The sequence below is a fragment of the Homo sapiens genome, chromosome 9, assembly GCF_000001405.40.
Source record: "Homo sapiens chromosome 9, GRCh38.p14 Primary Assembly".
Lineage (NCBI taxonomy): Eukaryota > Metazoa > Chordata > Mammalia > Primates > Hominidae > Homo > Homo sapiens.
Window position 1 is genome coordinate 85961384 of NC_000009.12, and position 12574 is coordinate 85973957.

Genomic DNA, 12574 nt, shown 5'->3' on the forward strand with positions numbered 1-12574 from the left:
GAGATAAGATATTTGAAAATAACCTAGTATAATATTTGAGACACAGTACTTACCCAATTTTGCCTATTGTTGGTATTCCCAACCTCTAGTACATGGTGCCAGACATATAGTGGTCACTTAGTAAAATAGTATAAAACAATTATCTTAGTGTTTTAGAAAGATCTCTAGTTGGGGGTATTAAATTAGAGATGGGAGGCAGGAAAACCTATCTAGTTTCTTGAAATAATCTAGGTGAGATACGGTGTTGGCTGGGTTGTGGTGGTAAGGATTATAAAGTTCAATGAGTGTCTAAGGATCTGGTTAGTTCTATAATTGTGAATTTTCCAGTTTATGGATTTTTTTATTGACTACATTGTGGAGTTGATTTCTTTTGGATGCTACATAAAGAGGCAGTCTTAATTTCATTAATCTCTAATATGTTGCAAACTGATTGATGTACGACAATGATTCCCATAGACACTTGAAAAATGTTAGTCAATGAAAGTGAATTCTAACGTGTCTTTTTTTTTTAAGTCTTGTGATTAATCTTATTTGGGTCTATGGTGCTCTGGCCTTTGACTCTAGGATCAATTTAGACTTTGCAGACTCAGTTTATCACCTTAAATATATACTCTTTTGTTTCTTTATAGATAACGTGGTTAGAAGGCCATTCACTGGCACAGACAGTATTTACGTGCCTTTACATTCATAATCCAGACTTTATAGAAGATCCTGCTATGAAGGCTTTTGCTCTGGGAATCTTGAAAATCTGTGACATTGCAAGGGAAAAAGTAAATAAAGCTGCTGTTTTTGAAGAGGTAAGATTTCGTAATGTAAGAAATCCTTGGCCAGGTGCGGTGGCTCATGCCTGTAATCTCAGCAGTTTGGGAGGCCAAGGTGGGCAGATCACCTGAGGTCAGGAGTTTGAGACCAGCCTGGCCAACATGGTGAAACACTGTCTCTACTAAAAATACACAAAATAGCCAGGTGTGGTGGCATGCATCTGTAATCCCAGCTACTTGGGAGGCTGAGGCATGAGAGTTGCTTGAACCCAGGAGGCAGAGGTTGCGGTGAGCTGAGATTGTGCCACTGCACTCCAGCCTGGGCAACAGAGCGAGACTCTGTCTCAAAAAAAAAAAAAAAAAAAGAAAGAAAAAAGAATTTCTGAAGTTCATTGACTACCTTATTCACTGTGATGTATTTAAATGATTTTGTGATATGTACTTTCGTCTACGTGTATATTTAAAAACAGTTTTTAAAAGTAATGCTGTTGCCATTTACAGATATATTGGGTAAAGTAATTCAGTTCTCTCCAAGAAAGGGCTTTCATCTTAGCATATGTTCTTTCTGTAGTACCATTCATTGAATATCCGTATGTGCAGAGTGCTGTTTTTGGATGTTGTGGGGATTCCCAGAGAAAAATGAAAGAGACAGCCCTTGTCCTCAAGTCTCTTAGAAGTTATAATACAAAAAGGGAGCTAAGGAGAACAAAGATATGAATATTTTAGGGTATAGACATTTTCCTTTAGTTTGTCCTAAGTACCTCACCTGAGGAAGTATTGTGAGTTTTAGAGATAGAAAGATTTTTTTCCCCTTTAGTATAAAAAATAAGCTTTCAGACGCTGATAATTTTCAGGGAATTGCATCTCAACCTAGGACTACAAAAAAAAGAATTGTAAGGGAAAATGTGATAGCATTTGAAATTATTGATAACTATTTTTGTTAAATTCTTCTGTTGAAACTGATATTTCTTTTTAGTGCTGTTACTGCTCCAGAATAAATTTCCTAGGATCCAACAGTGGTTCAGTGTATAATATGTAAAACTTTTCTCAATTTATACTATGTATGTGAGAATAATTAAATGTATACCCAATATGTTTGTCCATATTTGAAGGTATGGCTTTTTTTTTTTTTTTTTTTTTTTTGAGAGGGGGTTTTAGTCCTGTTGCCCAGGTTGGAGTACAATGGGGCAGTTTCGGCTCACTGCAACCTCCATCTCCCGGGTTCAAGCTATTCTTGTGCCTCAGCCTCCCGGGTAGCTGGGATTACAGGCGTGCACCACCATGCCTGGCTAATTTTGTATTTTAGTAGAGACCCGGTTTCACTGTGTTGGCCAGGCTGATCTCGAACTCCTGAGCTCAGGTGATCCACCTGCCTCAGCCTCCCAAAGTTCTGAAATTACAGGCATGAACCACTGTTCCTGGCTGTATGGCTTTGTGAGTTGTTTGAAATAGTGTCTACTTTTTATACAGTTGGTGGTTATTTACATATTTGTATTGATATGGGTATCATTATGGAAAATCTTACTCATTTGGATGGAATTTTAAAAAGATTAGTTTGAGTTAGAGATATACAGATTATTTTAAATACTAGTATTTTCAAAGTACAACTAAAAGGCCATCAAAATCAATGGGGCAGAGAGAGGATTCCTTGAACAACAGTGTGTGAACAAGGTGATTAGCACCCTTGAAAGTTACTTTATCATCATTTCATATCAAAATTTCAGATAGCTGAAATGTGTTAAGTATAAAAAATTACTTAAAAATCAGGAGAAGATAGTTCACAGAAAATAAAATGGCCTTTAAATGTAAGGTGCTTAACCTCATTTTAATGCAAATTAAAACTGAAATGTCATGTTTTTAGCCATTGTTGGCAAAGATTAGAAATTTTTTATAACAAGATTGTTGAGGATGGGAAAACAGGCACTCAAATACTCTATGTGTGTGTCAATGAATATGAGCAGTCATTATTTCCCACTTCTTAGTCTTTTTTTTTTTTTTTTTTAGAACTTCTTATTGGGGAATAATTTCAGATTAACAGCAATTATGGGAACCAGCACAAAGAACATATGATTCGTATGCAGATTCAGCTACTATTAACATACTGTCCCATTTGCTTTTTTCACTTATGCGCGTGCTCCTGCTCATGCTCTCTCTCATGTATATATGTATGTATGTCTTTTCCTGACCTGTTAGTAAGTTGTGCCCATTAAAGCCTTCTTCGCTGTGACACTTTAGTGTGTTTCTTCGAAGAAAAAGGGCACTGTCCTGCAGAACCACAACACAATTATCAACTTCAACAAATCTGTAATAACAATGCACTATTCAGATTCCATTTTTGTTAATTGACCCAATCCTTAGTGTTTTTTCCCTACAATACAGGATCCAGTTTAGAATTATGTCCTGCATTTAATTGCGTATCTCTATAGTATTCTTTAAGCCACATCAGATCCTCAGCTTTTCTTTGTCTCTGGTGACATTGATATTTTTGTGAACACAACCTTATCCTGCTTTTCATTTCTTAATAGGCTATGCTTCACTTGGGTTTATCTGTTCTTTCCTTACGATTAGATTAAGATTGTGCAATCTTGGCTGGAATATAACATAAGTGATGTGTGTTTTTCAGGGTGTCACAACTGGAGGTACACTGTCTGTCTTTCAATGGCGATATTATTTTGATCAATCCATGAAGATTTTGTCTTATTACCATATGGTTACTGTTTTTTTCCCTTTGTATTTAAGCAATCTTGGGATACACTTTAAGACCATAAAAATATCCTACTGACTGAAGTCTCTCCCCTTAGATCAAATATCCATTGACGGTGCTTGCCTGGACTAATGTTTACTGTGATGGTTGCAAAATTTGTATTTTTTTATTCTAGTTCATTTTCCACATTGATCAGTCAGCACTTGACATCCTACTCTAAGCAAGACTCATACTTTTTTGATGGGAGTGTAAATTCTTAACGACTTCAGAAAAGAGCAATGTGGTGATATCTATCATAATCTAAAATGCACGTCTTGACTCAGCAGTTTCACTTCTAGCACTCTATCCTACAAATGTATTTGTACACAAAGACCTGTGTACAAGGATATTACTTACAGAATTGTTTGTAGTAACTAGTTTGGAAACCACCTCAGTATCCATCAGTAGGAGACTAATTAAAAGATGTTACATTCATACAATCAAGTGCTTTGCTGCTGGCCAGGCATGGTGGCTCATGCCTATTAATCCCAGCACTTTGGAAGGATGAAGTGGGCGGATGGCTTGAGCTGAGGAGTTCGAGGCCAGCCTAGGCAACATATCCAGACCCTGTCTCTACAAAAAATACAAAAATTAGCTGGGTGTGGTGCTGTGTGCCTGTAGTCTCAGCTACTAGAGAGGCTGAGGTTGGAGGATCACCTGAGCCTGGGGAGGTCAAGGCTGCAGTGAGCTGTGATTGTGCTATTTTACTCCAGTTTGTGTGCAGAGTGAGACCCTGTCTCAAAAAAAGGGTATTTTACTGCCTTTAAGATGGAGGTCAATTAAAAAAAAATTGGAAAAAAAATGAGATTGATTTATGTGTAGAGATAAGATTAGATTTCTAAAGTGAGAAAAGTCGGGTGTAGTAAAGCATGTATATAGCTTGCTACCACTTTTTTCTTTTTTAAAAAGGGAGGTAGCTAAATCTTCATACATAAGAGGATAACAGGTTTTAAGGGCTGGGGTATACACTTGTTTGCACTGTTGGGATTTTTAGGGTGTGTCTGCATTATTTTGTTTTTAAATAAAGTAAGTTTTTTAGTAACAGAAGAAATTGTAATTGAATTTTATTTCTAGGGGGTTCCACTTTGTTACCCAGGCTGGAGTGCAGCGGCATGATCGTAGCTCACTGGTAGCCTTGAACTCCTATGCTCCAGCGATACTTTGTCTCAAGCCTCCCGAGTAGCTAAGACTGCAGATGTGTTCCACCACACGTGGCTAATTTTTAATTTTTTTTGTAAAGACTGGGTTTTGCTTTGTTTGCCAGGCTGGTCTCAAACTGCAATGCTCAAGTGATCTTCCCACCCCAGCCTCCCAAAGTGCTGGAATTATAGCTGTGAGCCACCACACCTGACCTGTAATTGAACATCCATTTATATTCTGGATGAAGGTCTTACTAGGAAATGGGAGAAATCTTAAAGGAAGAGACTAATAGGACAAGAGTGATAGAAAAACTTTTAGGAAAAATAAAGATACAAAGATAAGACAATTTTTATGAATTATGATCGTGTTCAAATAAAGTACAACACTCAGGCCCAAATGAATAAATGGGCAATAAAATAAGTTGCTTATTTTATGAAGGAAGGTTATCGAATGTTTATAACACCTTTAAAATTTAGCTTCACTATAATCCAGGAAATACAAATGAAAATGTAGTTTGATTTTTTCTTTCTTTCTTTTTTTTTTAACCTCACCCACCTCTTGATCTCAGATTTCGCGGCTCCTAGAACTGATTGATTTTCATGAATATAATTTTAAAAATGAAAATGTTCAATGTTGGAAGGAATGCAGTAAGTTGACACTTCTGTTTTTACTAGTATACATTAGCACAGCTGTCTTGGCAAACAGTTTAATAATGTGTATATCAAGAATCTTAAAAATACTGATATCATTTAAACTAGTTATTTCACCTCTATAACTCAGCCTTAAAGAAATAATTAGGCCGGGCGCTGTGGCTCACGCCTGTAATCCCAGCACTTTGGGAGGCCAAGATGGGCAGATCACCTGAGGTCAGGAGTTCGAGACCAGCCTGGCCAACATGGCGAAACCCCGTCTCTACTGAAAATACAAAAATTAGCTAGGCGTAGTGGCACATGCCTGTAGTCATACCTACTTGGGAGGCTGAGGTGGGAGAATCGCTTGAACCCGGGAGGCTGAGGTGGGAGAATCGCTTGAACTCAGGAGGCGGAGCTTGCAGTGAGTCAAGATTGTACCACTGCACTCCAGCCTGGGTGACAGAGTGAGAGTCCATCTCAACAACAATAACAAAAAAGGAAGTAATTAGAAATGTGGGTACTTTATGCCACATAGGGTTATGGTTGAAATAAATTATGGATAATTGATTACACATAATTTATTATGTATATTGAGTATGTAGTTATTAACATGATGAAAGAGTGCTTAATAACATGGAGAAATGCATATGTCAAAAGGTTAAAAAAAGCAGCATTGTAGCCAACTGTGTAAAAATAAAACTGGAAAGAGAAAACCAGAAGTTTGCTTCTGGGCCAAAAGATTCTGTTTTCTTCGTTTTGCTAAATTTTTCAGATTTTCCAGATAAGTTTGTCTTAGTCTTATAATTAGAAAAAAATACGAATCTAGTAAAGTCCTCAAGAGACCTAGTGATGAATAAGAATGATTTGGCCGGGCGCGGTGGCTCACGCATGTAATTCCAGCACTTTGAGAGGCCCGAGGTGGGCAGAGGTCAGGAGATCGAGACCATCCTGGCTAACACAGTGAAACCCCGTCTCTACTAAAAATACAAAAAATTAGCCAGGCATGGTGGTGGGTGCCTGTAGTCCCAGCTACTCAGGAGGCTGAGGCAGGAGAATGGCGTGAACCCGGGAGGCAGAGCTTGCAGTGAGCTGAGATCCTGCCACTGCACTCCAGCCTGGGTGACAGAGTGAGACTGTCTCAAAAAAAAAAAAGATTTATAATGAGCAAATTATTGATTTAAATTGGATATTTCTGGAGTTCCTAGCTGCTGGTGTATTTTGTTCTCAGGCGTGTCTCCTGATCTGGAGACGTTTTCTGATTTCTTTCTTAACATCTTGCTCACATGCCCAAAATAGGAACCCTATCAAACTACTTTTCTTTTGGCATTCTGTATCTTGCAATATCATACTGCCAGTGTTATCTTTGATTACCTCTTTCTTCTTACCCCTTACGTTCGGATTATTTTGCTTTGGCTTGCAGATGCCTTGAATCGGGGCACTGTTTTTTCTCTCACCCTTTCTGCTTTAGTTCGTCAACCTTAGGTTTGGCTTCCTTGGAGTTTCTGAACTCTTCTCTCTGGTCCAGTATTTTCTTTCTAGTTCATTCTCCATGTGACCAGCAGTTATCTTCCTAAAAATAGGTATCCTGTCACCCAGGCTGGAGTTCAGTGGCGCTATCTCGGCTCACTGCAAGCTCCGCTTCCCGGGTTCACGCCATTCTCCTGCCTCAGCCTCCTGAGTAGCTGGGACTACAGGCACCCACCACCACACCTGGCTAATTTTTTGTATTTTTAGTAGAGATGGGGTTTCACTGTGTTAGCCAGGATGGTCTCGATCTCCTGACCTCGTGATCTGCCCACCTCGGGCCTCTCAAAGTGCTGGAATTACAAGTGTGAGCCACCGTGCCCGGCCAAATTTGTTATGTGAAAATTTAAGTGGGGTGTGTGTGTATGTACATTTTAATAAAAGTACTAATACTTGTATGTAGTTTAAAAAGTTAAATAGCCCACTTATGAGGAAAAATAGTTCTCTGCTCTTTTTTTTTTACTGTTCCATATTATCTCCATATATCTGGATATAACCTAATATTCTAACTTCTGGATTTAAGGATTTACTAACTTTAGCTTTGATATGTTAGATTAGATCAGAATATATCATATATTACCTCTGCCCTTGCCCCAACTAGTAATCTAAAAGCTGGTTAAATCATTATGGAGCATCAATGTTGTTGTGATTGTATAAATATTAATGAGAGGTGAACCAAAGTAGTATATGCTTATATTTCCCTTCTCATACAAAATTTTGTTTTTCTTATATGTGATAATTGTCTCTCTTTTTGATTTGCTTAGTTTTCTATGTACTTCTCCCCAGTTCTTTTGCCCTCTATTGTGAAACCTATCAGATAATCTGTCAGTTGTATATATTTTTTTGAAAATGCTCCTCTTGAAGTCTTGTTCTCCAGCTTCAGTCTGCATCACTGTGTGCTATGCCCACTACACAGCTGTGTCATTCTAGTTTTTTGTTCTCTGTTCTCCAGGAATTTCATTGTTTTGTTAGGTCCCTTGTTATCTGGCCCACATGCCTTTATTATTCTTAGTTTATTGTTTTGCTTGGTGGAATATTTCCAGTTCTTCAGAGAGACAAGAAGGTAGATTTTGAGACCTGGTATGTCAAAAAAAAAAAAAAAAAAAGTCTTCCCTATCCTCACACTTATTTGGTAAGTTGCTATTTACCATATAAATAGAAGTAGTCTTCCTACCTGCCAAAATGTGCCCTATATTCTGTTGCTTTTCTGTTATATAGATGGACCTTCTGTATTCCTAAGGGTGATAACTTCTGTTTGTGCATTGATCCCATGCTCTATCTTCAAAGATACTACTCTAGCAATTCTTCCCTGTGTTCTTTGCATAATGAATTTACCCCTCTGCTAGATAATTTACATCAGCATGCAAACGTGCTTTATATTCCTCTTGTTAAATCTATCATTTCTTAGCATAATATTGTCCTTCATCTTCTGCACATACCTTAATTCTTTTCAGCCAGATCCTTTTTAAAAGGGGTACCCACAGCCTGGACAACACAGCAAGACCCCATCTACAAAAAATAAAAAATTTAGCCAGGCATGGTGATGTGGTACACCTCTGTAGTCCCAGCCACTTGAGGCTGAGGCAGGAAGATCACTTGAGCCCAGGAGTTTGAGGCTATGGTGAGCTACAGTTGCACTCCACTCCAGTCTGGATGGTCAAATGACTCTGTCTCTTAAAAAAAAAAAAAAAAAAGATGTGTTCATATTCAGTGTCTCTGGTTTTCTTCTTTTTCTCTCTGCTCTAGTCAGGCTTTACACCTTTCACTAAAACTACTGTGTCACAGTCATCAAAGACCTCAGTGTTAAATTCAGTGGTTAGATTTGGTCTTAAACTTGAATTACCAGCAGATTTTGACGTAGTCATCACTCCATCCTCAAAATACATTCTTTGCATGGCTTTTAAGATGCTTTTCTTCCCTGGTTTGCTACCTCACTGGTGGTTCTTGACTGTTATCTCTTTCTGTAAACCAGAACTATACCATAGAAATATAATGTAAGCCACATGTATAGTTCGATTTAGTGTTCTAGTGGCCATGGGTGAAAATAATTTTAATGCTATATTTTATTTAATTCAGTATATCTAAAATATTAATGTTTTGGCTGCATAGTATTGTGTGAAGAGTACAGTTTTTGAATACTTATTTCTGGCAATCAAAGGATGCTGCAACTACTGGACAGAAGTATAATGAGACACCACAGGATATATACCTAGTCTCAAAATATCTTTCCACCAGATACTTATTAATTACAAAGGGAAAAATGATAGCTTTGTGATAGAGAAACTTGGCGGATAGCACCTTAGTCAAGTGGCCAGAATTACCATTAGTAATTGGACAGATTGACACGTGCCGGCTTATACAGTGCTCTAGGAAGGACACATCATCATTTCTGTGGCATTCCTATCAAATATGATATAACTTAAATTTAATCTTGAAGAAATATCAGGCACACCCATTACTGAGGGATATACTACAAAATGTATACTACAAAGTACTATTCAAAATATACTATTTTGAAGTACTGTTTGAAAAGATACTTCCAAGTGTCAGATATGAATGTTAAGGACAGAGGAAATGCTCCAGATTAAAGGAGGTTAGAGACATGAATTTCTGTATTTGGTAATTGTACTGTGATTATGCAAGAGGAAGATTTTGTTTTTAGGAAATCACGCTGAAGTGTTTAGAAGTAAAGGGGCGTCATAGTCTGCAACTTAATCTTGAAGGTTTCATTTTGTCATTATCACAAGTGCTAACCTGTTTGTTAATACTCACAAACTGTCTTCTCACTTGTTAAGATGAAAGCATTCCTGTTATAATCTAAGCTCAGCTCCTCCACTTGTGTTGCATTACTAGGCTCTCCTTCACTACTCGCTTACTCTTATTGGCATGTAAACATGCTTTACATTCATTTGAAAACACCACAGTTTCCTTGATCCCATGGCTCCTTGTATCTACAGTCCCATTTCCCAGCTACTTGCCAGGAAAAATGTCTTTAATGATTTGCTTATGTTACTTTTTCTTTCATTTTATCTTTATTTACTCCAAATGGTCATTCTTTACCACCACTACAGAGAACTGGTCTTTACCCATCTTGCTAAATTCAGTGTTCTCACCCCTCCCTCTCCAACCTGTGAGCATCGTTAGACCCGGTTGACACACTGTGAAATACTTTTTTCTCTTTGTCTTCTTAATACCAGTCTTTTGGATTTCTTTCTGCCTCACTGGTAAGCCTAGTTCCTGTGCTTACGTCTCTAATTGCTAGAGTACTCCTGGACTCCCTCCCTCCTCCATAACTGTTCCCTAGGTTGATTTCCTCTAGTTCTGTGGCATTCAGTATCAACTAACTATACAATGATGAAGTCCAAATTTATACCTCTAGGCTTGAGTCTTTCCCTGACTTCAGTCTCAAGCAAGTGAAATCTGAAATCTCCACTTGGATGATCAAAGAAATTACAAACTTGATATAACCAAAATTATACTTCATTTCTGCCCTTACACCTGCTCCTCCCAAATACTGCCTTATCCCAGGAAATGGTACCATCACCTGCTTAGACCAAAACCCTAAAAATGAGGCTTGATTGTATAGTTTACCTCATATCCACATTCAGTTCATCAGCATATCATGTTAGCTCTACCTTTGAAATATATCCTGATTTTTTTTTTTTTTTTAACCAACTTCTTACTCTCCCCACTGTTGCAATCCCAATCCAAGTCATCATCAGCCCTTGCTTGGACTGTTGGATAGAGTCCAATGTCTGATCTCCCTAGTTTCACTCTGACTTCTGTCCTCAAGTCCACAAATCTTCAAGAGTGATCTTTAATGGTAGCAGTCTGTTTACATGACTCTCTTGTTCTCACTTATCCAATAACTTAGATTAAATTCTTATTACTGAGGTTTATATTCCCAGGACTTGTGATGTTCTTCCAGAAAGTTTTCCTAAGACTCTTCTTGGCAAACTTACAGATAAGTTTTATGGATATTTTTGTTTTGTTGTTTTTCCTCCACAGTGTTTGTCTGATTTTTTAAAAAAGGAAGAGGAAGCTGGATGTGGTGGCTCACACCTGTAATCCCAGCACTTTGGGAGGCTGAGATGGGTGGATCACTTGAGCTTAGGAGTTCGAGACCAGCCTGGACAACATGGCGAGATCTCATCTCTACTAAAAATACAAAAAAATTTAGCCCGGTGTGGTGGTGCATGCCTGTATTCCCAGCTACCTAGGAGGCTGAGGTGGAAGGATTGCTTGAGCCCAGAGCGGGGTGGAGGTTACAGTGAGCTAAGTTTGCGTCACTACACTCGAGCCTGGATGACAGTGAGACCCTGTCTCAAAAAAAAAAAAAAAAAAAAAAAGGGTCGGGGGGTGGAGATTTTATGTTGAAAAAGAAAAACCTAAATTTTTTTCTGAAAAATTAGGAGACCTGACCACACTGGCCCTGTATTCATTCATAGCCACAACAGGATAAGTAGTGGCTGACTCCTTTTAAATGAAGCATATGTTTTCCAATTTGCCAGTCTCTACCATTCCCTAGTGTATGTTGTAGCTAGCCAGATGTATTTAGGAAGATAACCTGCCTTTTGAGTTCATGACCCCTGCCCTGGAATAAGTCATTCGTTGAACACATATTTATTGAATAGAAGTCTGTTTAGCACTATTCTAAGTCCTATAGGTGAAGTAGTAAATAAAGCCGTGATCTCATGGATTATACCTTTCTTGGGACAGATAGTCAATGTATATGTAATTAAATACACATATAATGTCAGGTGGTGATTAAGTGCCATGAAGAAAAGTAAAGCAGGCTAAGGGGATATAAAATGGTGGATGGTGCTGTCTTAGAATGCATGGGGAAAATCTCTATTTGAGGAATTGACATTAGAACAGAGGCTGGAATATAAGGGATGAAACCTTGTAAATATTTTGAAGAAAATCATTTTGGTGTGGGAGCCGTGAGAGGAGAACGTGTTTGGTATGTTTGAATGACAAGAAAGACCTGTCAGACTGCAGTGCAGTGAATGTGAAGTGGTAGGAAATAAAGTTGGCGAGGGAGACCGGGCCATGTGATGTAGGGCCATAGAGGCCATGGTGGACTTAGGGATTTTGCTATGAGGTAGAAAACTATTGAAAGGTTTTGAATAGGAAATGACATGATGTGACTTATTTTCAGACAATCCTTCTGCCTTCTGGTGGTATATAAATTATAGCAGGGACTAGTGTGGTAGGTGGGGGAGTTGTCTGGAGGTGGTTACAAGAGTGAGCAATAGTGGTGACTTAAACTAGAGAGAGCTGTGAAAGGGTGAAAAGTAGTTAGACTAGAATCTGAAGATAGAGCCTACAGTGTTTTCTGGTAGATTTGATACAGGATGTAGAAAAACGAGAGGAGTAGAGGCCAGGTTTTCAGCCTGAGCAACTCTAGATAGGTAGTAGTGCCATTTAGTGGTATGGTAAACACTAGGAAGTAGGCGTCAAGCTCCTTTTTGGAGATGTAAAATTTGAGAATCCTGTTTGATGTCCAAGTAGAGACAGACTATAAAAGAGAATAAGCTTATATAGCTCTGTAATATGATGAGTGTTTTTTTTTTTTAAGGATTTGATCATGTAAGTCATAAAATACACCTGAGTTCTTTGAGACCAAGGACATTGGGTTTATTTTCTTACTGTTTGTGGGGTATAGTACCTCACTTGAATTTGATGCTCACTGTTTTTTTTTTTAAGAATCCAGAAATTGTGCTGTAGCTCCATCCCCTTTTGAAACTATTGTTCTGTTATTTTAGGATTCT

The 12574-nt window shown here is 38.2% G+C and overlaps 1 protein-coding gene across 5 annotated transcripts in view; it reads left to right on the plus strand.

The window, feature by feature from the left end:
• Positions 1-12574, plus strand: part of NAA35 (N-alpha-acetyltransferase 35, NatC auxiliary subunit) — an 84317-nt gene that overhangs the window by 20238 nt on the left and 51505 nt on the right. For 4 of the 5 annotated variants that reach the window (XM_005252127.5, NM_024635.4, NM_001321881.2 and 1 more), the window contains exon 6: positions 630-797. In XM_005252127.5, coding sequence (XP_005252184.1) covers positions 630-797 — 168 coding nt within the window. Of the gene's footprint in view, positions 1-629; positions 798-5212; positions 5292-12574 lie in introns of those variants that run through there. The other variant, XM_047423710.1, reaches the window with a different exon arrangement.